The 27576-nt window shown below is 45.1% G+C and overlaps 5 annotated features.

The window, feature by feature from the left end:
* Positions 2345–3233: an enhancer, noted in NCBI's record as "H3K27ac hESC enhancer chr10:121480870-121481758 (GRCh37/hg19 assembly coordinates)". NCBI's record gives its function as "activates a minimal SCP1, AML or CMV promoter by ChIP-STARR-seq in naive H9 embryonic stem cells {active_cell/tissue: H9 hESC(naive)}" and the evidence as "EXISTENCE:reporter gene assay evidence [ECO:0000049][PMID:30033119]".
* Positions 12586–12775: a silencer, noted in NCBI's record as "fragment chr10:121471328-121471517 (GRCh37/hg19 assembly coordinates)". NCBI's record gives its function as "represses an EF-1alpha promoter that drives an FKBP-Casp9 reporter gene in an ReSE screen in phorbol 12-myristate 13-acetate-treated (for megakaryocytic differentiation) K562 erythroleukemia cells {active_cell/tissue: K562(+PMA)}" and the evidence as "EXISTENCE:reporter gene assay evidence [ECO:0000049][PMID:32094911]".
* Positions 19634–19913: an enhancer, noted in NCBI's record as "active region_4131". NCBI's record gives its function as "activates an Ori minimal core promoter by ATAC-STARR-seq in GM12878 lymphoblastoid cells {active_cell/tissue: GM12878}" and the evidence as "EXISTENCE:reporter gene assay evidence [ECO:0000049][PMID:35858748]".
* Positions 20544–20593: an enhancer, noted in NCBI's record as "active region_4130". NCBI's record gives its function as "activates an Ori minimal core promoter by ATAC-STARR-seq in GM12878 lymphoblastoid cells {active_cell/tissue: GM12878}" and the evidence as "EXISTENCE:reporter gene assay evidence [ECO:0000049][PMID:35858748]".
* Positions 20604–20653: an enhancer, noted in NCBI's record as "active region_4129". NCBI's record gives its function as "activates an Ori minimal core promoter by ATAC-STARR-seq in GM12878 lymphoblastoid cells {active_cell/tissue: GM12878}" and the evidence as "EXISTENCE:reporter gene assay evidence [ECO:0000049][PMID:35858748]".

Raw genomic sequence — 27576 nt, 5'->3', positions numbered from 1 at the left:
CTTTGTGATGTGATTTGGAGAAAGAAGGTAATGAAGCTATAAGAAGCTTCAGTGGAACCATCGGTTTCAGATTGATTGTTTAATTCAGCCATGTGTTGACTTAGCAAAAATGAGAATGAGAAAATCCTATGAAGACATTGTATCCTGCAAATTATTTCATTATTGTTTTATGAATTACATTGCCAGATGTGAAGAAAACAATGCTGTTGTAACTGTTTTAAAACAATTAATTAGTTCATTGAAACTTTTCCTGATGTTTTAGATCCATGGTTCCAACCCTGGCTGCCTATTAGAATCACCTGGGGAATTTTTCAAACATATCAATGCTTGGACCTTAGACCAATTAAATCAGAATTTAATTGGGGTGGGGCTCTGGCATCAGTTTGTTTATTTTTTCTAAGCTCCCCAGATGACTTTACTATGCAGTCAGGCTTGAACACCACTATTTTAAGTGAAATTAATTAGTAAAATCTGCCTGACAGCAGCTTGGAAAAAAACAGCAGTCAGTCATTAACTAATGCCATCATATGGGCTTGGTTACCTGTAAATGCAGAGTTAACAAGCAAAGTCTTTAGGAGAGAGGAAAACATGGAGGGGAGATGCTTCTGTAATTATCTGACCCCAATGCACACTGCTGTCTCCCTCAGGCTCCAAACACATGCTGTGGGGTAGGCACAGCTCTAGCCTGGCTGAGCAGAGTGAAAAGAGCACATATTTTCTGTCCCTGGTAGATGTCACATCCCCAATCTACTGCCACAGTTGCCTTGCCTTGTTTCTGCTATGAACTTCCTGAACCTTGGCCACTGCAGCCTCTCCACTCCCTGGCTAGCCTATCCTCGGCCTGTGGCTAACTTGCCAGCCTCATCACCCTCTTCCAGCTTCCTAATTCAAGGTCCTCCTGCCCCGATGCCACCCAGGTTTTAATGGAAAGTTCACGTGATGCTGCTCTCCTTTTTAAACACAGATGACCATCATACATATTATATATCTTCTTTTACGTGTATGGCATATATATGCTAATTTAAGTATAATCACTAAGGAGTTTGGTTCTAGCCAGTTCTGTGTGATTTTGGTCAGTTCACTCAATCTCTTTTGATCTCAGGGTCCTTATTTATGAAAAGAGATGATCACTAAGTGTTCCCTTCCAGTGCTGAAATCAATGTGAGGAAATGTGTCCACGTAGTTAAACCTACACAAATGATGGTAAATAAGCCAACTGTGATTATCGATTTAGCCCTTCAATATCTCTGAGATCTTTGGATTAGATTTTGGTATCCTCTGGTGAGATTTGACTTTAACATCATCTCCTGTCTTCTGTCTACTTGTCCATAGTCTTGTTTGTTGTCTGTGATAACTTTCTTCAGTCTTGTCTATGAGAAATCTCCCAAAAGAAGAGATTTATATTTATATAAATATATTCCCCCCTCCCCCAGCCTGCCTGGAGGCTGCTAATGTTGCAGGTCAGCAGTCCAGGTGGCTTAACTTTGTTTTTTGTTTTTTGTTTTTTAATTTTTTTTTTATTGATAATTCTTGGGTGTTTCTCACAGAGGGGGATTTGGCAGGGTCATGGGACAATAGTGGAGGGAAGGTCAGCAGATAAACAAGTGAACAAAGGTCTCTGGTTTTCCTAGGCAGAGGACCCTGCGGCCTTCCGCAGTGTTTGTGTCCCTGATTACTTGAGATTAGGGAGTGGTGATGACTCTTAACGAGCATGCTGCCTTCAAGCATCTGTTTAACAAAGCACATCTTGCACCGCCCTTAATCCATTTAACCCTGAGTGGACACAGCACATGTTTCAGAGAGCACAGGGTTGGGGGTAAGGTCACAGATCAACAGGATCCCAAGGCAGAAGAATTTTTCTTAGTGCAGAACAAAATGAAAAGTCTCCCATGTCTACTTCTTTCTACACAGACACGGCAACCATCCGATTTCTCAATCTTTTCCCCACCTTTCCCGCCTTCTATTCCACAAAGCCGCCATTGTCATCCTGGCCCGTTCTCAATGAGCTGTTGGGCACACCTCCCAGACGGGGTGGTGGCCGGGCAGAGGGGCTCCTCACTTCCCAGTAGGGGCGGCCGGGCAGAGGCGCTCCTCACCTCCCAGACGGGGCGGCTGGCCGGGCAGGGGGCTGACCCCCCCACCTCCCTCCCGGACGGGGCGGCTGGCCGGGCAGGGGCCTGATCCCCCCACCTCCCTCCCCGACGGGGCGGCTGGCCGGGCGGGGGGCTGACCCCCCCACCTCCCTCCCGGACGGGGCGGCTGGCCGGGCGGGGGGCTGACCCCCCACCTCCCTCCCGGAAGGGGCGGCTGGCCGGGCGGGGGGCTGACCCCCCCCACCTCCCTCCCGGACGGGGTGGCTGCCGGGCGGAGACGCTCCTCACTTCCCAGATGGGGTGGCTGCCGGGCGGAGAGGCTCCTCACTTCTCAGACGGGGCAGCTGCCCGGTGGAGGGGCTCCTCACTTCTCAGATGGGGTGGTTGCCAGGCAGAGGGTCTCCTCACTTCTCAGACGGGGCGGCCGGGCAGAGACGCTCCTCACCTCCCAGACAGGGTCGCGGCTGGGCAGAGGCGCTCCTCACATCCCAGATGGGGCGGCGGGGCAGAGGCGCTCCCCACATCTCAGACGATGGGCGGCCGGGCAGAGACGCTCCTCACTTCCCAGATGTGATGGCGGCTGGGAAGAGGCGCTCCTCACTTCCTAGATGGGATGGCGGCCGGGCGGAGACGCCCCTCACTTTCCAGACTGGGCAGCCAGGCAGAGGGGCTCCTCACATCCCAGACGATGGGCGGCCAGGCAGAGACACTCCTCGCTTCCCAGACGGGGTGGCGGCCGGGCAGAGGCTGCAATCTCAGCACTTTGGGAGGCCAAGGCAGGCGGCTGGGAGGTGGAGGTTGTAGCGAGCCGAGATCATGCCACTGCACTCCAGCCTGGGCACCATTGAGCACTGAGTGAACGAGACTCCGTCTGCAATCCCGGCACCTCGGGAGGCCGAGGCTGGTGGATCACTCGCGGTTAGGGGCTGGAGACCGGCCCGGCCAACACAGCGAAACCCCGTCTCCACCAAAACCAGTCAGGCGTGGCGGCGCGTGCCTGCAATCGCAGGCACTCGGCAGGCTGAGGCAGGAGAATCAGGCAGGGAGGTTGCAGTGAGCCGAGATGGCAGCAGTACAGTCCAGCTTCGGCTCCACATGAGAGGGAGACCGTGGGGAGAGGGAGAGGGAGAGGGAGCGGTACTTTTTATTTTTGAGACACAGTCTCCTTCTCTTGCCCAGGCTCTGTTTTTTGTTTTTTGTTTTTTGTTTTTTTTTTGAGATGGAGTTTCACTCTTGTTACCCAAGCTGGAGTGCACTGGCGCGATCTCGGCTCACTGCAACCTCCACCTCCCAGGTTCAAGCGATTCTCCTGCCTCAGCCTCCCGAGTAACTGGAATTACAGGCATGTGCCACCACGCCCAGCTAATTTTTTGTATTTTTAGTAGAAATGGAGTTTCACCATGTTAGCCAAGCTGGTCTTGAACTCCTGACCTCATGATCCACCCGCCTCGGCCTCCCAAAGTGCCGGGATTGCAGGTCTGACAGGTGGCTTAACTTTAGGGTTAAGGGCCCAAAACACTCACAAGCTGTGATGGTGAATTTTATGTGTCAACATGACTAGGCTAAGAGCTACTCAGAAAGCTGGTAAAACACTATTCCTGGATATGTGTGTGTGAGGGTGTTTCCGGAAGAGATTAGCATTTGAATTGGTAGACTAAGTAAAGAAGACTGCCCTCATCTATATGGTGGTCATCCAATCCTTAAGGACAAGAATAGAACAAAAAGGTGGAAGAACAAATGTGTTCCCCATTGAACCCGGTTATTCATCCCTCCTGCCTGCAGATATCTGAGCAGATATAGTTCTGGGCTCTCAGACCCAGATTGACCTCCCTGGTTCTTAGGCCTTTAGGTTTGGACTGGAACTATACCACAGGCTTTCCTGGTTCTCCAGCTTGCAGAAGGTAGACTGGGACTTCTCAACCTCCATAATCTCATGAGCCAATCCCTCATCATAAATTTTCTTCTGTATATGCATATATATTGTTTCTGTTTCTCTGGAGAAACATGAGGGCAGAATGCAATTGACTGCTTTCCCAAAATTTGTATGTTGAAATCCTAACCTGTAAGGTGATAGTATTAGGAGAGAGGGCCTTTGGAAAGTAATTAGCTCATTAGAGCACTTATAAGAGACCCCAGCAAGGTCCCTTGCCCCTTCCACCACATGAGGGCATCTCGAGGAAACAGATGTTCGTCTAAGAACCAGAGAGCAGGCCCTCACCAGACACTGAATCTACCAGTGCCTTGATCTTGAACTTCCCAGCCTTCAGAACTGTTGGGAAAAAAAAAAAAAAATTCTGTTGTTTATAAGTCACCCAGCCTATAGTATTTTTTTGTTAGCCCAAACAGACTTAAAACACAAGCCAAATTTTTACGTTTGGCCAATCAACAGCCAATTTCTTATGGATTTATCACCCAGCAAACTTAATGCTACCTCCTCACATAACTTCATCAAGGATGGCTGGAAATTGTACTGTTGGAGCACTTTGACATATATAAAGTTCTTCAGGCTGGGCAAAGTGGCTCACACCTGTAATTCCAGCACTTTGGGAGGCCAAGGCAGGCGGATCACTTGATGCCAGAGTTCAAGGACCAGCCTGGCCAACATGGTGAAACCCTGTCTCTACTAAAAATACAAAAATTAGACATGCGTGGTGGTGGGCGCCTGTAATCCCAGCTACTCGGGAGGCTGAGGCAGGAGAATCACTTGAACCTGGGAGGCGGAGGTGGCAGTGAGCCGAGGTGGCGCCACTGTATTCCAGCCTGGGTGACATAGCGAGACTGTCTATAAAATAAAATAAAATAAAATAAGATAAAATAGTTGAGAAGCACCACAGACCAAGAAAAAGGAAAGTCCCTCATGAGGAGACTGTCATGTTGGCCTAAAAGAGGCCCTTTTATTTAATGTAGAAGACCACCCTTTTTTCACTTCTTTACTTTGGGGGTTAATAATTACTGGCTTTTTAATTGTACGGCCTGATAAAATTGTCAAGGACCTACTCAGGAGGCTGAGATGGGAGGATCACTTGAACCCAAGAGTTCAAGGCTACCATGAGCTATGATTGAGCCACTGCACTCTAGCCTGGGCAGGAGAGCGAGGAGTGAGACCCAGTCTCGAAAAAAAAAAAAAAAAAAAAAATGGGGTGGCCGGGCGTGGTGGCTCATGCCTGTAATCCCAGCACTTTGGGAGGCTGAGGCGGGCAGCTCACCTGAGGTCATGAGTTCAAGACCAGCCTGGCCAACATGGTGAAACCCCATCTCCACTAAAAATACCAAAAATTAGCAGTGCGTAGTGGCAGGTGCCTATAATCCCAGCTACTCAGGAGGCTGAGACAGGAGAATCGCTTGAACCCGGGAGGCGGAGGTTGCAGTGAGCCAAGATCGCACCATTGTACTCCAGCCTGGGCAACAAAAGCGAAACTCCGTCTCAAAAGAAAAAAAAGGAAAGAAAAGAAAATTTAGGCCAGGTGCGGTAGCTTACACCTGTAATCCCAGCACTTTGGGAGGCCGAGGTGGGTGGATCACCTGAGGTCAGAAGTTTGAGACCAGCCTGGCCAACATGGTAAAACCCCATCTCTACAAAAAAAATACAAAAATTAGCTGGGCATGGTGGTGGACGCCTGTAATCCCAGCTACTCGGGAGGCTGAGGCAGGAGAACCACTTGAACCCAGGAGACAGAGGTTGCAGTGAGCCAAGATGGCACCATTGCACTCCAGCCTGGGTGACAAAAGCGAAACACCATCTCAAAAAAAAAAAATTTTTTTTTATTAAACCAGCCATAATTATTTGTGTGTGTGTGTGCATGTGCGAGAGAGAGCGAGAATGTCTTTTCTGCAGCTAATTTTTCTCTTCTCTCCTTGCAGAGAAGATAATTAGCCTTGTTCAGTGATAATTTCATAGTTGTCTAAAACCAGCTGTCTCTCACTTCCTTTCTGTTATGCATTTACTCTTCAATTAAAAAACAAAACAAAAAAAAGGTAACTTTAAAAAATTAGTTTGCTCTAAATAAGCTACTTTGGAAAAAACGTCCAGGATACACTGTTAAACAGAAAAAGTCCGAGTTAGGCCGGGCACGGTGGCTCACGCCTGTAATCCCAGCACTTTGGGAGGCTGAGGTGGGTGGATCACTTGAGGCCAGGAGTTTGAGACCAGCCTGGCCAACATGGTGAAACCCCGTTTCTACTAAAAATACAAAAATTAGCTGGGCATGGTGGCATGCACCTGTACTCCCAGCTACTCAGGAGGTTGAGGCGGGAGAATCGCTTGAACATGGGAGGCAGAGGTTGCAGTGAGCTGAGATTGCACCATTGCACTCCAGCCTGGGTGACAGAGTGAGACCCTGTCTCAAAAAAAAAAAAAAAAAGAAAAAGAAAAAGTCCAAATTGCAGAACAGTATTTTCTAGTATCCCATTTGAGTTTTTAAAGTGAGGGAATGGAAGAGAGATTATATTTTTATAAGTCCAGAACATTTCTGAAACAAAACACAAAATCTAGTTCCCTTTGAGGGATGGAAATGGGGCTGGTGAGTGGAGGGGCTGTGAAAGGGAATGAGGAATGTAGGAAGGAGGGTGGAGACGTTTTTCACTTTATATACCTGTGTACTTTTTTTTTTAAATTTTTGTGGATATATAGTAGATGTATATATTTACGGGATACATGAGATATCTTGATACAGCTGTATGCTCTTGATTTTTTAAAAAACCATGTGCTTTTAATGTTTTAAATCTTAAAAAGCTAATTAAGTGTGTGTATATATATATATGCATGTGTGTATATATATATGCGTGTGTGTGTGTGTGTGTGTGTGTGTATATATATATATATACACACAAATCATTCCTCTACCACACATAAAAACATATTTTTAGGCAATGTATTACCTAAGGATCTAAAGTCTTTTGCCTCTGACCGGGCAAAGTGGCTCACGCCTGTAATCCCAGCACTTTGGGAGATCGAGGCAGGTGGATCACCTGAGGTGAGGAGTTTGAGACCAGCCTGGCCAACATGGAGAAACCCCATCTCTACTAAAAATAAAAAAATTGGCTGAGCGTGGTGGAGCGCACCTGTAACCCGGCTATTCAGGAGGCTGAGGCAGGAGAATTGCTTGAACCCAGGAGGCAGAGGTCGCAGTGAGCCAACATCATGCCATTGCACTCCAGCCTAAGCGACAAGAGAGAAACTCTGTCTCAAAAAAAAAAAATGCATTGTTAGATAATCATGTTAGAGATTTTTCAAATAATGCTTTGGACTGCACAGAAAAACAACAGGGGGATGTTACTCTGGTAGAAAGTTGGTACGTCCTAAAAGCTGCCCAGTGGATTTTGAACCTATTGTTACTTCTCCTGGTTAAAGAAAATAATATCCTACAATGTTTCACCATTTCATAAGAGTTGCACTTAGTGACAAGGAAACATGGGGTTTTGGTTTCCCTAATAGTGCTGTTCTTTCCCTTCCATTTTACAGCAATCCTTCAACGAGACTGAGAAGTACAGTGAGGGGATGTGTGTTGCAGATGGGGTGTTTGGACAGCTTCTGACTACAGAAGCAAAGGCATGGGGGTATAGAGGCGGGGGGCAGGGGGACGGTGAACAAAGCACGAAATGTGATTTGCAAGTTTCCAAGATGGTGATTTTAACTATGATGGGTAACCAGAGACCAGCTGCAAAAATGTGGCAAATATATTTTGAAAATTTGGCCCTCACTCTAATTTCAGGATTAGAGTGCTGTTGCTGCTTCTGAAACCCTGCAAGATATTCACATTTCAGTTACTCCCAAGCAGCACATCATTTCTCACAGCTTTTCTCATTGCTATTCTCTGAGTTAATTGAGTGGGGATTCTAACTTGTAGCTATGATGCTTATAAAGCTACAATCCAAGGGATTCAGTCCAGGCAGCATTGAGGTTAAAAAAAAAAAATCCATTCTATACAATTAAAAACAATTTGAGAAAACTCAAATCCTTTGTGTGTATTTCTCAAATATTCTAAAGCCCTCTATAATTTCTTTTAAATCTTTTTTTTCTTCTCACCATTGTCCTCATATAGCACAAATATTCCCATATCTCTCCTCTCAAAACTCCAGAAAGCTTTCTCCCTCCAGCATCTTTTTCAGTTCTTTGTTGTGAAATCTGACCAAACCACTTAGGGCTATTTCCCTGGCAAGGCCTGGCCTTCTCTAGAGGGTGAGACAGGGGAAGAAAAAGCACAAAGCTAAGCCAGAAAACTCTCTAGCTGCGGCTGGGGTTGGGGGGGAAGAGGAAAGGCTAGAAACACTCAAACATTAACAAGTCTAGCCCATCACTTCAGCATAAACATATTTCCCCTTTGGGATTCAGTAACAAGTATTTTCATTTTGAATGGGAACAAAATGTGGCCTGTAAACAATTTGATGCAGGGTCCGTACATTCAAAGTCTGCCGGCTGGTCTCTGGACTTTTCTTCCCTTGTGATTTCCTAATTGGAACTAGGCAGTCTGGTTCAGAGGAGGACAGCAAGTTTCCGGGGCTGCTGCCTGCCTGCAGAGAGGGACAAGCACTGGGTCTGAAGTGATTCCCCAAAGCCCCCCCATTTGCTCCTATTTGGAGCGAATTACTGACTCTTCTGCCTGTGGAGCCTGGAGCTGGGAAATCCAAGGGAGATGGAAAGAGACAAGTGCCAAGGGGCGGGCAGTTGCGGTGGCCTCTGCTGTCTTGTTCTCCTCTACCCATCCCCAGCCCTAGGAAGCAGAACAGCCTGCAAATTGTATTTACCCCCCAGTCAACACCGGCAAGTGTCACTGGGGTCCCACCCCACCTCACCTATTCACCAGCCAGATGTGCTAAGGCAAATCTCCCAGCTCTCCAAGATCAGTTTCACCCTAAACAAAATGGAGATAAGATATAAAATTTTCTTCACAAGGTTGTCATCAGAATTAAATGAAGTCAACTCTTTGAAACGATGTCTTAAACTACAAAGAGTTGGCCGGGCGCGGTGGCTCACGCCTGTAATCCCAGCACTTTGGGAGGCCAAGGCGGGTGGATCACAAGGTCAGGAGTTCGAGACCAGCCTGGCCAATATGGTGAAATCCTGTCTCTACTAAAAATACAAAAATTGGCCGGGAGTGGTGGCAGACACCTGTAGTCCCAGCTGCTCGGGAGGCTGAGGCAGGAGAATCGCTTGAACCCGGGAGGTGGAGGTTGTAGTGAGCCAAGATCAGATCAGGCCACTGCACTCCAGCCTGGGAGACAGAGAGATACGCTGTCTCAAAAAAAGAACAAAACAAAAAACTATAAAGAGTTATCGCACCGTTATTTTGCATATATTTTAAAAATATATGCATATATTTTATGCAAATATTTTGCATATATTTTATGGCTGGGCTCAGTGGCTCAGGCCTGTAATCCCAGCACTTTGGGAGGCTGATGTGGACGGATCGCTTGAGTCCAGGAATTGAATATGAGCCTGGGCAACATGGCAAGACCCCATCGCTACAAAAAATACGAAAAAGTTAGCTGGGCGTGGTGGTGCGCAACTGTAGTCCCAGTTACCCAAGAGGCTGAGGTGGGAAGATCACTTGAACCCAGGAGGCAGAGGTTGCAATGAGCCATGATCATGCCACTGCACTCCAGCCTGGCTGACAGAGGAAGACCCTGTCTCAAAAAAAATATGTATTTTATGTGTAAAGTTTTCCCCTCTAGGCTCATTATTTGACAAATTCCTAACATATATATAAAATATTTTTTATATATATAATAACATATATATGTAAAGCTAAACACATTTTAATTTTATATATGTAAGTGATTCACGTTTTTAGCTCAAATCACATCACCAGGAAATAGAAGTAGTGGACGTTAACTGTGTAACTATAAGTTGGATGTTGGCCTTGATTCCCAGCCAGAGACAGAGAATTTGTCCTGAGGCAAAAGAAGCTTAAGCTTCAAGATTCCTTGATTTCATCCAAAGCCCTAATTCTGTATTCACTATTTTGTATTCTCCTTTCTAAAGGGACTCTCCTTATTGGAAGAAGCTTCAGGCATCACAGTTCTTGCCCCCATTGCTAGCAGGAAAGAACCTTCTGTGCTTCTACATCCCAGGAGGATCTGTGCCTGTTCGTTGTCTTCTCTTGGCTTGTCTCCCCTCTGTGATCATTCTCCCGTGTCCTTTTAGCCGCTCCTCCTCTTCTGAGCTCAGATACACTTTCTGCTCCCTCCAGCTCTCTAATCTACTAACAGTTATGGAGCTGGATGAGCACACACACACACACATACACACATTTGTTTTAGAGATAAATTTAGAGATTGGAAACTATGTTTAAAGATGGCACCATTCATCCCAATGACTCAGACAGAGCTATTCTCAGTTCATGTGGAGCCCTTATATTGAAAATAGAGCTAGGAAGCATCTTTGATTCAGTAATGCCAGGGTATAGATTTTCCAGGAGTAGATTCAAAAGTACTATTAATAGGTGGAGAGTGTTTTCATCGTGTGATGCTAGACTGGGTGGTTTCAGGAAAAAATGTAATACTCAGTGGCAAGGCGTGCTTGTCCTTGGGGGATTCAGGATCAACCTGGCCACAGCCACTGCTGGTTAAGGCACTGCCCAGAAGCAGCAAGGAATCACAGTCCTCCACTAATTCATAGGAATCCAAGCTCACGGCGCCCCAACTCCAGAGCCATCAGAGCTGTAGTGGTAGGGATTGTGGGATACTTAGGGAGATAGAAGGCAGGTTCCAACCTGTGGGAAGGGTTGGAATTTCCAAGGTAGGGTTTAGGAGATTTCATACTGGGAGGGGGATTAAAGGAGAGCAGGAGACAATCAAAAATTAGGGGAAAGCCAGGTGTGGTGGCTCATGCCTGTAATCCCAGCACTTTGGGAGGCTGAGGTAGGTGGATCACTTGAGGCCAGGAGTTGGAGGCCAGCCTGGCCAACATGGTGAAACCCCGTCTCTACTGGAAATACAAAAATTAGCCAGGTGTGGTGGTACATGCCTGTAACCCCAGCTACTTGGGAGGCTGAGACACGAGAATCGCTTGAACCCTGGAGGTGGAGGTTGCAGTGAGCCAAGATCACACCACTGTACTCCAGCCTGGGCAACAGAGCAAGACTCTGTCTCACATAAATAAATAAATAAATAAATGGAGGAAACACATATTCTCTTTTTTGTTGTTTTTTTGTTTTTGTTTTTTGTTTTTTGAGACAGGGTCTTGCTGTGTCGCCCAGGCTGGAGTGCAGTGGCACCATCTCAGCTCGTTACAACCTCCACTTCCTGGGTTCAAGCAATTCTTCTGCCTCAGCCTCCCGAGTAGCTGAGACTACAGATGCTCCCCACCACGCCCGGCTAATTTTTGTATTTTTAGTAGAAATGGGGTTTCACCATATTGGCCAGGCTGGTCTCAAACTCCTGACCTTGTGATCTGTCCACCTTGGCCTCCCAAAGTGTTGGGATTACAGGCGTGAGCCACCGTGCCTGGGCCGGAATATTCTCTTAATATATTTAATTATGTTAATATTATATGTATGTATGTGTGTGCGTATATATGTGTACATATGTGTGTACATATATATGTGTATATATATGTGTGCGTACATATATGTGTATATATATGTGTGCGTACATATATATATGTACGCACACATATATGTTAGGAATTTGTCAAATAATGATTTTGGAGGGGAAAACTTTACATATAAAATAGATTTTTTTAAAGTATAAATATTTCTGTAACACTATAGTTTAAGACACCCTTTCAAAAACTTCGTATAGTTCCGCTAACAACCTTGTAGAGAAAATTTTATATTTTATCTCCATTTTACATAGGGAGAAACTGACCTTGGAGAGCTGGGACCTTTGCCTAAGCACATCTTCAGAATAGTCTCTGAAGGCCTGAACAGAGAGGCCTGCCCCACATTACTTTCACCCTGAGTGGTATGGTGGGATGAAGGTGCAGCTTCCTATCCTTGGGTGGCTTTCGCTCGCTTGTCTGACATTTCCATCATGTCTAACCCCCTGCAGTCACCTGAATAACAGCCCTCAATGATATCAGAAACCTGTAAATGTTACCTGTTTGGAAAAAGGGTCTTTGCAGATGTGATTAGGGATCTTATCCTGGGATATCCAGGTAGGCCGTAAATGCAATCACATGTATGTGAATCAGAAGGAGGCAGAGGGCTGGGCACAGTGGCTCATGCCTGTAATCCCTGCACTCTGGGAGGCTGAGCCAGGTGGATCATCTGAGGTTAGGAGTTCGAGACCAGCCTGGCCAACATAGTGAAACCCCATCTCTACTAAAAGTACAAAAATTTAGCCAGGTGTGGTGGTATGTGCCTGTAATCCCAGCTACTCGGGAGGCTGAGGTAGGAGAATTGCTTGAACCCAGGAGGCGGAGGTTGCAGCAGTGAGCCGAGATCACACCACTGCACTCAAGCCTGGGCAACAAGAGCAAGACTCTGTCTCAAAAAAACAAAGGAGGCAGAGGGAGATTTTACACACAGGGGAGAAAGTGATAGGAAGACAGAGCCGAGAGAGATTTGAAGGTGCTGTTCTTTAAAATGGGCAAACTGGGCCGGGCGCGGTGGCTCACGCCTGTAATCCCAGCACTTTGGGAGGCCGAGATGGGCATATCACAAGGTCAGGAGTTTGAGACCAGCCTGGCCAATATGGTGAAACCCCGTCTCAACTAAAAATACAAAAAATTAGCCAGTTGCGGTGGCACGCACCTGTAGTCCCAGCTACTCGGGAGGCTGAGGCAGGAGAATCACTTGAACCTGGGAGGCAGAGGTTGCAGTGAGCTGAGATCACGCCACTGCACTCCAGCCTGGGTGACAGAGTGAGACTCTGTCTCCAAAAAAAATAATAACAAAATAAAAAAGATGGGCAAACCAAGGAACACCAGCCCCCACTGGATGCTGGAAGAGACGAGAAACTGATTCTCCCTTAGAGCCTCTGAAGGGAGAAAGGCACTGCTAACACATTGATTTTGGCCCAGTAAGACTGATTTTGGACTTTTGTGCTACAGAACTATAAGAGCATAAAAGTGTGTTGTTTTAAGCCACCAAGTTTGTCCTAATTTGTTATGGCAGCCACAGGCAACAAATACAACCTCATTCAGAATCCCATGCGTTTGGTCTGACAAAGATGGGCAGCCCTGGCATCCCATCATCAGACGCAGTGATGATTCCTCAGGGGTTCCTAGTAGAGAGGGTGTATTAGTCTGTTTTCATGCTGCTGATAAAGGCATACCTGAGGCTGGGCAATTTACAAAAGAAAGAAGTTTAGTGGACCTATAGTTCCACATGGCTGGGGAAGCCTCACAATCATGGTGGAAAGCAAGGAGGAGCAAAGTCACATCTTACATGGATGGCAGCAGGCAAAGAAAGAGCTTATGCAGGGAAACTCCCCCTTATAATAACCATCAGATCTCCTGAGACTTACTCACCATCATGAGAACTGCACAGGAAAGACCTGCCCCCATGATTCAATTACCTCCCACAACACGTGGGAATTCAAAATGAGATTTGGGTGAGGACACAGCCAAACCATATCAGAGGGCCTGTTGGGGCAGTGCCCCCTCCTAACCTGTAGAGGTCCATATGAGTTTCCTATAGCTGCCATGCAATTGACCACAAACTTGGTAGCTTAGAACAACAGAAATTGATTCTCTCACTGTTCTGGAGGCCAAGTCCAAAATTAAGGAGTTGGCAGGGTCAATTCCTTGTGGAGACTCTGTGAGAGAATTCGTTCCGTGCCTCTCTCCTACCTTCTGGCAGCTCCCACAACCCTTGGTGTGTCTTGGCTTAGAGCGAATAACTCCATCTCTGACTCCACCCTCACATGAATCTTTACCTGGCCTTCTTCCATGGGTTTCTATTTATTTTCATATATGTGTGTGTGTGTGCGTGTGTGTAATTTTCTCTTTTTTCTTTCTTTCTTTTTTTTTTTTTTTTTTTTGAGACAGGGTCTCACTCTGTTGCTCAGGCTGGAGTGCAGTAGCATGATCATGGCTCACTGCAGCCTCAACCTTCTGGGCTCAGGTGATCCTCTCACCTCAGCCTCCCAAGTAGCTGGGACTACAGGCATGCACCACCATGCCTAATTTTTGTATATTTTGTAGAGACTGGATCTTGCCATATTGCCCAGGCTGGTCCCAAACTCCTGGGCTCAAGCAATCCACCCACCTCAGCCTCCCAAAGTGCTGGGATTACAGGCATTAGGTACCATGCCCAGCCTAACATATACTTTTCTTTCTCTTTTTTTTCCATACAGACAGGGTCTTGCTATGTTGCCCAGGCTGGTCTTGAACTCCTGGCCTCAAGCGATCCTCCTGCCTCTGCCTCCCACAGTGTTGAGATTACAGGCTTGAGCCACCACACTAGGCCTCCCTGTGTTTCTGTGTGTCTTCCCCTTTTCTGTCTCTTGAAAGGACACTGGTCATTGGATTTAGAGCCCATCCTAATCCAGGGTGATCTTATCCCAAGATCCTTATATTAATTGCATCTTCAAAAACTCTACTTCCAAATAAGGTCACATTCATAAGTACTGAGAATTAGGACTTGGACATATCTTTTGGGAGGACACTCATTACAGGGGCTAATACCCTCCCCTCCCACTCAGTGGGGGAAGTATAGAGAATCCAGCAGTCACCTACCCAGCCTAACGAAGACTTCGCAAGTTGCAGCAACTTGCCCACAGTCAGGCAGCAAATTTCTGACACCAGGCCTCATAGAAACCAACCTCAGAATCTCTAACCCAGCATGATTTCCACTGCACCACCCAGCCTCTCGTGTAACTCCCTACCTAGGAACAGTGCTATTCCATTCAAAATCAGCTTCAGACCAGGTGAAGTGGCTCATGCCTGTAATCCCAGTACTTTGGGAGGCTGAGGCGGGAGGCTCACTTAAACCCAGGAATTCAAGACTATAGCCACCTATGATAGCGCCACTGCATTCCAGCCTAGGCAACAGAGGGAGACCCTGCCTCAAAACAAACAAACAAATAAAATCAGCTTCAAATATCTACATTGTCAATCTTCATACAATCCCTTTTGGCAGAAAAGACAAGCCTACCATACACTAAACATGGGCATCATACTTCAAGTTGATGTCTGAGAAATTTAAGGAAACATTATGATTCCAATACTTCTCTTCCTGTTCCTGTTGCTAAATGATTATTTTTTTCTCAAAAATGGAAAAATTTCTCAAAAGCTAGCTGACTTTATGCCCCTAAGCAGCTATCCTGATGTTTCAGAATGTAGAAGATTCTTTGCACTGAAGGAAAAATAATCACCTCCCAGTTTGTGATGAGTTCTCTGGCTCTAAAGCCCTTTGTACGTGTTACCTTACTTGTGCAGATGAATACCCTCAAGAGATCTCAAGGGATTTTGGTCGGTAGTTTCCATTTGACATGCAGTACGTTTGAAAGGGAAAGAAACTATTTCTGTGGGTGTGTGCTAGACAATTCATACCACTTGTTTTTCTTTTTGTTTTTTTGTTTTGTTTTGTTTTGGAGGCAGTCTCACTCTGTTGTCCAGGCTGGAGTGCACTGGTATGATCTTGACTCACTGCAACCTCCACCTCCCGGGGTCAAGTGATTCTCCTGCCTCAGCCTCCCAAGTAGCTGGGATTACAGGCACACGCGACCACGCACTGCTAATTTTTTTTTTTTGTATTTTTAGTAGAGATGGGGTTTTGCCATGTTGGCCAGGCTGGTCTTGAACTCATAAGCTCAGGCAATCCACCTGCCTCAGCCTCCCAAAGTGCTGGAATTACAGGTGTGAGCCACTGCACCCTGTACCACTTGTATAATCCTAACACAGGTTTGAGATCTCTTCTTTGGACCTGCAGCTACTGTTTGAAATTCAAAAGCACTTGTCAAGCACTGTGCCTATCCCTGCACTGCTCCCTGTATCAGCTCTCTAGGGCTGCCATCACCAGGTGCCACAAACTGGGTGGCTGAAAACAATGGAAATCTATTATCTCACAATTCTGGAGGCTAGAGGTCTGAAATCAAGGCATTGGCAGGGCCATGTGCTCTCTGAAGGCAGTGGGGAAGGATCCTTCCTTGCCTCTTCCCAGTTTCTGGTGGCTTCTGGCAACCCTTGGCATTCCTTGGCATGCGGCTGCATCACTCCAATGTCTGCCTCCACTGTCACGTGGCATTTTCCTCCTGTCTGTCTGTGTGTGTCTCTCTCGGCTCCATTCTTCTTTTTTTTTTTTTTTTTTTTTTTTTTCTAAGAGATGAGGTCTCGCTCTGTTGCCCAGGCTGGAGTACAGTGGTGTCATCACAGCTTACCACAGCCTCAACCTCCTGGACTCAAGAAATCTTCCCACCTCAGCCTCCCAAGTAGCTGGGACCAAAGGCATACGCCATCATGCCTAGCTTTTTTTTTTTTTTGTAAAGTAGGGTCTCCCTATGTTGCCCAGACTAGTCTCGAACTCCTGGGCTCAAGTGATCCTCTAGCCTTGGCCTCCCAATGTGCTGAGATTACAGGTGTGAGCTACCACACCCACCCAGTTCTCTTCTTATAAGGGCACCAGTCAAATTGGATGTTGGGCCAACCCACAGGCCCACCCCCCTAATCCAGTAGGACCTCATTTTAATGACTAATTACATCTGCCAAAAGCCCTGTCTCCAAATAAGGTCACATTGACAGATTCCTGGTGGACATGAATTTGGGGAGAACACTAACCCAGTAAACATGCCCAAGGGGGATTGTACTTTTTTTGAATGGCTTCTACTGCTCCCTTTAATATGCCAATTCCTATGTCACTGATATGTTTGGTTGTGTCCCCAATCTCATCTTGAATTGTAGCTCCCATCATTCCCGTGTGTTGTGAGAGGAACCCAGTGGGAGATAATTGAATCATGGGGGTGGTTTCCCCATACTATTCTCATGCTAGTGAATAAGTCTCATGAGATCTGATGGTTTTATAAGGGGTTTTCCCTTTTGCTTGGCTCTCATTCTTTCTTGCCTGCCACCATGTAAGATGTGCCTTTCACCTTTCACCTTTCACCATGATTGTGAGGCCCCCGCCCCCACCCAGCCACGAGGAACTGTGAGTCCATTAAACTTCTTTTTCTTTATACCCAGTCTCGGGTATGTCTTTATCAGCAGCGTGAAAATGGACTAATACAGTTACTCAGAAAGAAAAAGTCATATAGAGAGTAATAGAAGCCTGTCTAAATTAATCATATTGTTTCCTTCTATTTTTAAAGAGTACAGATCTATTTACTCTTAAGGAAAAGTAAAACATCAGCCATGAGGGAATGAAGTATAACAGCAACCAAAGTGTTAAATAGTGACTATTTGCAGCCTCTCCCTCTGCCCCCACTACCTGAGTATGTTTTATTGTTATTCACACTTCCTCTCCCCTTCCCTACTCTCAAGAAGGCTCCATCTCTGCAGCCATCCTGTATCTGATGACTTGCTCAAAGCTCTCAAAGCTGTATGGAGCAGATGGCCAAATCGATGGCTTTGTCATTCATCCTCCTTCCCGCCCCTCCCCCTACCCTTCACGCTGAACTCCAGAATGGGGAAGATCATATGGCCAGGACCCAGCTGTCTGAGACTGCTCAAGCTGCCATGACAAAGTGTGACAGAGTGGCAGGCTTAGCCAAGAAATTTACATCCTCACACTTTTGGAGGCTAGAAGTCGTATTAATCCATTCTCACACTGCTACAAGGACATACCCGAGACTGGATAATTTATAAAGGAAAGAAGTTTAATTGACTCACAGTTCTGCAGAGCTGGGGAGATTTCAGGAAAGTTGTAATCATGGCGGAAGGGAAAGCAAACATGTCCTTCTTCACATGGCAGCAGCAAGGAGAAGTGCAGAGTGAAGCAGGGAAAAGTCCCTTATAAAACTATTATATCTTGTGAGAACTCACTATCAGAAGAACAGCATGGAGGTAACCGCCCCCATGATTCAATTACCTCCCACTGGGCCCCTCCCACAACATGTGGGGATTATGGGAGCTACAGTTGAAGATGAGATTTGGGTGGGTACACAGTCCAAGATCAAGGTGTTGGTAGGGTTGATTTCTTCTGCAATCTTTCTCCTTCACTTACCATTGGCCTCTTCTTGCTGTGTCCTCACATGGTTATCTCCAGGTTTATGTGTTGTGTGTGTCCTAATCTTCTCTTCGTACAAGGACATCAGTCATATTGTATTAGGGCCCAACCTATTGACCTCCTTTTACCTCAGTCAGCTCTTTAAGAGCCCTGTCTTCAAACCCAGTCACAGTCTGAGGTACTTGGGGGTTTGGACTTCAACACGTAGATTTTAGGGAGGCACAATTCAGCCCATACCACCAGCCAAAGATCTTATCATCAGCTTACCTGCATCTCCCTCCTCCCCCCATCATTCCCTACCTTAGGGCCCATCCAAATTGCCCTACAAAATGTGGAGTCCCTTCTCTATGCACAATATGAAATATATGAAATAATATAGACATATAGAAACCAGATACTTGCAACAACCTATTCATGACTGATATACCCTTAAGGTTCTTGGACAAATGGGAGTACCTATTAAAAATGATTCTTTCAGGCCAGACACAGTGGCTCACACTTATAATCCCACCACTTTGGGAAGCCAAGGTGGGAGGATTGCTTGAGCTCAGGAGTTCGAGACCAGCCTGGGCAACAAAGCAAGACCTTGTATCTACTAAATTTAAAAAAAAAAAAAAAAAAATCAGCCAGGTGTAGTGGCAAATGCCTGTAGTACCAGCTACTCAGGAAGTTGAGGCTGGAGGGTCGCTTGAGATCAAGGCTACAGTAAGCTATGATCGTGCCACTGAGCTCCAGCCAGGGCGACAGAGCAAGACCCAGTCTCAGTCAATCAATCAATAAGATCCTTTCAGAGACATCTTGAAAATATTTTTTAACTGAGAAAGTGGAAAAAAAAAGTCAAGAAACTGACTTAGTTTCATTATTAGTCTAATCTAAAATAACAGGTTTGCTGTGTGCTAAAAATAATACTCAGACTCTCTGAATGAGTAAGCCCACTAAGAATAAACAGGGTTTTTTTAAATCATAAAAATGTCAATCATAATCAACACCTAATGTGGGAAAGTATCTTCCTCTTAAAAATATTAAGAAGGTGGCTGGGTGCAGTGGCTCACGCCTGTAGTCCCAGCACTTTGGGAGGCCAAGGTGGGTGGATCACAGGAGTTCGAGACCAGCCTGGCCAACATGGTGAAACCCTATCTCTACCAAAAACACAAAAATTAGCTGAGTGGGAGGCACCTTGTAATCCCAGCTGCTTGAGAGGCCGAGGCAGGAGAATCACTTGAGCCCAGGAGGCAGAGGTTGCAGTGAGCCAAGATTGCGCCATTGCACTCCAGCCTGGGCGACAGAGCAAGACTCCATCTCACAAAACAAAAACAAAAACAAAAAAAAATTAAGAAGGTGAGCAATGAGCAACAAAAACGTCTAAATTTTGCAGACAGAATAAGAGCCCAAAGGTTGTACACACTGAAAAACAAAACCGAATAGCTATTCATATTTTCCTTAAGGTTTGAGGACAAAGAAGCTCTAGAAGAAGGTTATACTGGAGCCAGAAAGGAAGCATACAAAAATATCCCTATCTATTTTTGTAAAGACAGGGTCTCACTCTGTTGCCCAGGCTGCTCTTGAACTCCGGGCCTCAAGTGATCCTTCTGCCTCAGCCTCCGAAAGTGCTGGAATTATAGACGTACCCCACCACCTGTGGCTGAGTTTCTCTTTCAACCGACAAATAGAACCTTTCTTGGAGTTAGAAAGTAGGAGATCAGGAGCTTCTCACTAATGATGGTGTAATTCAGCAATGGATCCCTTTTCGGGTCATCAGCTTAGTGTCAGTTCCTGGTTCTATCTGACTCATTGCAGTAGTGGGAGGTTTCGAAAACTTGAAGTCAGGAGGGTTTACATCAATTTCACATATTACAAACAACAACAACAACTCACAGCGCTAGGGAGGCATCCCATTCTACTCATCTTTACAACCTGACAAGAACAGGAATACATTCAACAGAAATATTCTTCTCTGCTACGAACAGATTGAAATAAATACCTGAGTTCCTGATAGAATGGAAAATAACAGCTTTCCATAGGTGCGGAATCACCAATGACATCAGAACAAAAATTATTGCTCGGTACCAAGGAGAAAATGTCTTGAGGACAAGATGTGAATAACAAGTTCAGAAGAAGGGAAGGTCAGTCAAAAAAAAAAAAAAAAAAAAAAAGCAGCCTCCTGGGCGACAGAGCAAGACTCAAAAAAAAAAAAAAAACGAAGATGAAGGATGATTATCATGCTACCTCTAAATTTCTACAGCAGGCTCCATAGAGCTCAAAATACTTTAAAGACGTATTTTTATTCTGAAGTAGCAGGAAGGAAATATCAGCAGCGTTTACAGATGTTGAAACTGAAGCATCACATCATTGGGGGATGCCCAGTTCTCCCTGCAGCATCTACTAGCTGTGCAGGATGGGGCCTACAGAGTGAGTTTCTGTCTTTCCTAGGAGCTTACCAACTCAGTCATCAGAAGGTTTCCCCAATCCAAATATATATTATTTTAATGTAAAAATAGAATATGTTGGCAGGGCGTGGTGGCTCACGTCTGTAATCCCAGCACTTTGGGAGGCCAGGGCAGGTGGATCACGAGGTCAGGAGATAGAGACCATCCTGGCTAACACAGTGAAACACCGTCTCTACTAAAAATATAAAAAATCAGCCAGGCATGGTGGCGGGCACCTGTAGTCCCAGCTACTGGGGAGGCTGAGGCAGGAGAATGGCGTGAACCCAACAGGCAGACCTTGCAGTGAGCCGAGATCGTGCCGCTGCACTCCAGCCTGGGCAGCAGTGCAAGACTCCGTCTCAAAAACAAAGAATATGTTAATAATTATATTAAAATTTCCATCAGAAACCTCAAGGCTATTGAGAACCAGGATTAATCTACTGATTACAATAAGAGAGGGGGCTGGGCACAGTGGCTCATGCCTGTAATTCCAGCACTTTGGGAGGCTAAGGTGGGAGGATTTCTTGAGCCCAGGAGTTTGAGACCAGCTTTGGCAACATAGTGAGACCCCATCTCTATAAAACATAAGTGAATTAATAAATAAAATAAGAGAGGGGACAAAGAGATGTGGTCATTTGGTCAGTGTATTGGTTTTCTAGGGCTGCTGTAACAAATGACCATAAAGTGGGTGGCAGTAAACAACAGAAGTGTATTTTCTCACAATTCTGGAGGCTAGAAATCCAAAATCAAGGTGTTGGCTGGGCCAGGCTCCCTCTGAAGGCGCCAAGGGAGAATCCTTCCTTGCCTTTTCCAGCTTCCGCAGGCTGCCTGCAATTCTTGGTGTTCCTTGGCTTGTAGATATATCACTCCAATTTCTGTCTCATTTGTCACACGGCACTCTCCCTGTGTGTCTGTATCAGTGTTCAAATTTTTCTCTTCTTATAAAGGTACCAGTCATTGAACTAGTGTTCCAGTAAAACCTCATCTTAACTTTTTTAGATCTACAAAGGATGTATGTCCAAATAAACTCACATTCATAGGTACCGGGGATTAGGACTTGAGCATATCTTTAAGGGGACATGATTCAGTCAGCAATAATCAGTTTGAAAACAAGATATTACTACCTAGTGGTAAATACACTCAAAACTACCAAAGGCCATGACTCTCCCCCCAAAAATGGAGATAGCATCATCTTTACTGTTGAAATAGCCCAGAATGTCTTTCTGAATAAGCTCTCTCTAGATGTTCTTCCCACCTCTAAGACTCATGATTATCTATGACTTAAAACTTACCGTCTCACAGACTCTCTCTCTATATGCAGCTTTTCCATTACAACATTTTCACATCCCCATCCTTGAAGCTGGTAACTGTGTTTTTTGTTGTTGTTTTGTTTTTTGTTTTTTTCCAGAGGAAACTTGTCCTGAAATGGAGTGTTTTGTTCTAAACAGTTCATGTATCCTTTAGAAGGAAAGGAGAGGGATGTTCACAGACAGAAAACATATAGTAAAAATAATTAACATATTTGAGCTTCCATTCTGCTTAAGACTGTGGTAGACACCATCAGTCTGTTTAATACACATGACCATTCCCATTTAGGGACATGGAAAATGAAGGGCAGAGCACAGAAGGAACTTGCCAAAGTCTCACGGACCCTAAGAGGGTAAAGGGTAAACTACAGATACAGGCATATGCACCCTACTTCTGACCCCAAGAGCAACACAACTAGGACAGGTGAAAGGAGTAGAGGATGGGATGAGAAAGGCCAGGGACAGAAGCTTCCTTCCTTTCTTTTGCACCAAGCAGCGGTTTGTTCAGGAGCTACCGTTTTCCGTTTGTGCAGTGCTGCCTCTGCACCTCAGCAAATTTCTGACCGACCAACAGAATCAGAATAAGCCACTCATACAACACCCCACAACAGGGACCCATTGTCATGGAAGTCAGGTGGCTGAGAGCTAAGCATTATTCCCCTGATCTGTCCCGGGCGTTGTTTGGAGGTTGGATGAAATCATGAAATGTAAGCATTCTTTCTGAGTCTGGAAGCAATCCAACGAAATTGAATGATTCATTCCTGACCCCAATTACCTCCTTTTACCCCACAATATTCTTTCTCTACCTTCTCCTACAAAAGCATTTGTTCACTCAATAACTGCTATGTGCTAGTTTTAACAATCTGACAGCTCAAAGAGATAGACATCAGCTCTCTTTTTTTTTTCCTTTTCTTTTCTTTTTTTTTTTTTTTTTGAGATGAAGTCTAGCTCTGTCGCCCAGGCTGGAGTGCAGTGGCTCGATCTTGGCTCACTGCAACCTCCACCTCCCAGGTTCAAGTGATTCTTCTGCCTTAGCCTCCTGAGTAGCTGGGATTACAGGCATGTGCCACCACACCTGGCTAATTTTTTGTATTTTTAGTAGAGACGGGGTTTCACCATGTTGACCAGGCTGGTCTCAAACTCCTGACCTCGTGATCCACCCGCCTCAGCCTCCCAAAGTGCTGGGATTACAGGCGTGAGCCATCGCGCCCGGCTTTTCTTTTTCTTTAGAATTGAGAAACCATAGAGAGACACGTCAAAATAACTCCTGAAGATTGCCTCTTTATGCAAGAGAAATACAAATAACCAGATTTCTTCTTTCTCTTTGGGCTTAAAAATGAAATCTCATGTGATTTATCTTTGTAATTCCAAGAAAATATTTAATGTTTTATTTTCTCCTTTTTACCATATTTTACTTTACTATCTCACTTTCTGCTGTTCTGAATTATTTTTATCACCTTCTTTGTTCTTAGAATTGTCCTTTGCCCCCATTTTTTCCCTCTTCTTCAGTTTCCTAATTGTCCCAGCTATTTCACTCTCTCTTTCTTATGGTTCTCTCTAGAATCATCAAAGTGTAGAAATTTAATATGAAAAGGGATTTTCAGTTAGTTTAGCAGCATCATTTTACAGATGAAGAGCTAATGTTTAGGGAATTTGTCCAAAGTATTCCAGTTAATTTGTGGGAGGACCTGGCACTGGAACCCAAATGTCCTGATTACCTGAATACAGCTCCAATTCCTTCTTTAGATCTAATGCCACATTCACATAAGACATCTTCATATCCCTGCCATACCTGCTGATCTCTTGTGCTGCGTACTAATGTCAAATCTTAGGCTCTGGGCCATCAAGTATGGATTTATTTATTTATTTTTATTTTTGAGACACAGTCTCTGTTGCCCAGGCTGGAGTGCAGTGGTGTGATCTCGGCTCACTGCAAGTATGGATTTAGTTATTCTGGTGCTTAAAAGGTTTGAGATGTCATTTTTCTGAGTAGATGGCAGATGATTTCATGAAATCTGTGAAATGCGGTATTCTTATTTAATTTTATGAAAAAGAGAAATACAAAGAAGAAAAGGGGAAATTTTGATACAGTATTACCAATAGTAAAAGTGTGGAGAAAGAAAGAGGAAGTGAAATTTTACAACTCAAAACTATGCTCACGGTATACTCATAGATTTCAGTCAGTAGCACAATCTAATAATAAAACATTTGGGTCATAGGTCAAACAAGTAATTACAATCTGATGTTTTTCACTAATTAGAGTAGAAGCAAATTTTATTCAATGTTGTGTCCCCACAGTCCCCACAGTTCTTGATGCATCCTAAGTGCTCAATGCACTGTGTCTAATAAATGTTGACTGAAATAAATATGTGGTCTAGAGAAAGTTAAATTAGAAGATCGACTTAACACTGGATTCAGGGTTCTTTTAATGCCAATATTCTAATTCTAATTTTGAAAAGCAGCACAAGAATATTACCAGTTAGAAAGAAAGAATCCGGCCAGGCGCGGTGGCTCATGCCTATTATCCCAGCACTTTGGGAGGCCAAAGCGGGTGGATCACCTGAGGTCAGGAGTTCAAGACCAGCCTGGCCAATATGGTGAAACCCTGTCTGTACTAAAAATACAAAAATTAGCTGGACATTGTGGCACGTGCCTGTAGTCCCAGCTACTCGGGAAGCTGAGGCAGGAGAATTGCTTGAACCAGGGAGGTGAAGGTTGCAGTGAGCCATGATCACGCCACTGCACTTCAGCCTGGGTGACAGAGAGAGAGAGAGAGACACTGTCTCAAAAAAAAAAAAAAAAAGTTAACATAGTAAACATCATGTTATGCATATTTTACCATAAAAAAAAGCAAGGTAGGGAAAATGTGTATAGTTTTGAGTAAGGAGGGAGATAAATCTAGGTATATTATTACTTATGTATTACAAGGAAAAATAAATATAAATTTTAAATTGCTAACTTTAGTGGAAAAGAGGGAACAGGTTGGAGAACACAGGGATATAAGCTAGACTTATTTGAATATACCTTGCTTTGTAGATTAGATTTTGAAATTGTGTAGATATTTTATATAATTATAGAATAAAATAAATAGGCACTCTCAAAAAGAGAAGAAGAGGAACTATACCTCCTCTATCTCTTTCTTCCTCTACTCCGGCAACCTTATAGACCACTATTCCAGATGATAGTGGTACAAGCTAGGAGGGGGCTGCCTGACCACTATGGACTTCATGTGAGCCAATAAATAAACTCGTGTTGAGTTAAGCCACTGAAACATTGCAGAAGCTAGGATAGATTGGTTTTTGTTTTTGTTTTTGTTTTCGTTGTTTTGTTTTGAGACAGGGTCTCACTCTGTCGTCTAGGCTGGAGTGCAGAGGCACGATCGTGGCTCACTGCAAACTCTGCCTCCCGGCTCAAGCAATCCTCCCATCTCAGCTTCCCGAGTAACTGGGACTAAAGACACACGCCATCATGCTCAGCTAATTTTTGTATTTTTTGTAGAGATGGGGTTTCACCATGTTGCCCAGGCTGGTCTCAAACTCCTGAGCTCAAGCGATCTGCCCACCTTGGCCTCCCAAAGGGCCAGGATTACAGGCAGGAGCCACCACGACTGGTCTAGGGTATATTATTTGGACCGAATACCAGGTAATGCAGGTAAAGCACTTGGCCCTGACTCATGCTAAGCAGTCAGTACAAATGCAGCCAAGCCTCGGGTCAGCCCCAAAACCAAGAATGAGAACCACTCAGACTCCCTGTCAGAATCACATCTCTTCCCCTCTTGGAACATCTGTTTCTTTTTTTCTCATGTAGAGATCAGTTTTCTCTGCTTCTCTCTTCACATGATAAACAGAAGGTCACTATCCCATAATCCATAAAGTAATTTTTCCTCCATTCAAGAGGCCAATAAGTTCAGGTATTGGCTGTCTCTCAGGCTAATTCCCTAAAGTCTCAAACCCCTCAAAAGAAAGTATTACTGCTTTAGCTTGGGTTAAGTGTGTGCTTGTGGCCCAATAACATGGTCACTGGAGAAAGGTCTTGCCGCCCTCCAGCCCCTGCTGTGAGTGGGGCAGGCAGTCACCCAAGAGCAGTCACTGGCAGGCTCCACAGGCGTGCCCCCTAAAATGACTCTATTGGTTGGGATATGGGTTCAGAGACCCCAAATAATAATGGTATAAACAGAGAAAACAGTTATTTTTTCCTTTCTTGAACAGCTGTATGTAGGCAGCTTAGAGTTCATATGGTAGTTGTCGTGGGTCGAATAGGATCTCCCAAAAATTCATATCCACCCAGAACCTCAGAATGCAACTTTACATGGGAACAGCATCCCTACAGACGTAATTAGTTAAGGATTTGGAGATGAACTCATCCTGAACTTAGGGTGGACCCTAAATCCAATGACTAGTGTCATTATAAGGAAAGGAGAGGACGTAGAGGAACACAGAGAAGAAGGCCACGTGAAGATGGGGGCAGAGATTACAGCGATGCTGCCACAAGCCAAGGAACACCTGGGACCACCAGAAGCTGGAAGAGGCAGGAAGGATTCTTCCCTGGAGCCTTTAGAGGGAGCATGGCCCTGCTGACACCTTGATTTTAGACTTCCAGCCTTCAGGACTATGAGAGAATAACTTTATATTGTTTCAAGCCACCTAGCTTGTGATAATTTGTTATGGCGACTGTAGAACACTGATATAATGGTTTTGGGGGCATCTGGGACCCAGGCTACTTCCAGCTTCCTTTCCACTATCCCTACAAGGTGGCTCTCATCCTCATAATCCAAGATGGATTTCCAGGCTTCATATCCATCAAGTGTTGGGATGGGAGGGGAAAGAAGGAGCTCCCTCCCTCCCTTTAAGGACACACCTTGAGTAGCACCCCACACTTCCACTTACATCCCACAGCCAAGCCCAGATGCAAGGAAGGATGGGAAACACAGTCTACTTTTTAGAGACAGAGTCTTACTCTGATGCCCAGGCTGGAGTGTAGTGACAACATCATAGCTCACTGCAGCCTCAAACTCCTAGACTCAAGCAATCCTCCCACCTCAGCCTCCCGACTAGCAGGCCTGGCTAATTAAAAAAAAAATACTGTGGGCCGGGCGAGGTGGCTCACGCCTGTAATCCCAGTACTTTGGGAGGCCGAGGCAGGCAGATCACGAGGTCAGGAGATCGAGACCATTCTGACTAACACGGTGAAACCCCGTCTCTACTAAAAATACAAAAAATTAGCTGGGCATGGTGCCTGTAGTCCCAGCTACTCAGGAGGCTGAGGCAGGAGAATGGCATGAGCCCAGGAGGCGGAGCTTGCAGTGAGCCAAGATCGTGCTACTGCACTCCAGCCTGGGCAACAGAGCCAGAATCTGTCTCAAAAAAAAAAAAAATCTTTTTTTGTAGAGATGGGGTTTCGCTACATTGCCCAGGCTGGTCTTGAACTTCTGATCCTCCCACCTCAGCCTCCCAAATTGCTGGGATTATAGTCATGAGCCATTGCACACTCAGCCAAACTGCTACCTTTTTTAAAGCAGAGATTTGCCTTAGGATGGCTAATATGGTAGTGGAATATAAAATGTCATTTTTTATAAAATGGAAATGTTAATACTTATTTGGTATGGTTGTTGGGAGGATGTAATGAGATACTAATGCCTGGCTCACGGAAGGTACTCAGTAAACAGTAGTTATTATTAAAGGTGGGAAAGGCTGGGGGATATCAA

Source organism: Homo sapiens, chromosome 10 (assembly GCF_000001405.40).
Source record: "Homo sapiens chromosome 10, GRCh38.p14 Primary Assembly".
NCBI classification, from domain to species: domain Eukaryota; kingdom Metazoa; phylum Chordata; class Mammalia; order Primates; family Hominidae; genus Homo; species Homo sapiens.
Note: the sequence above shows the minus strand (reverse complement) of the source record. Positions and strands in the feature narration are given on the sequence as shown.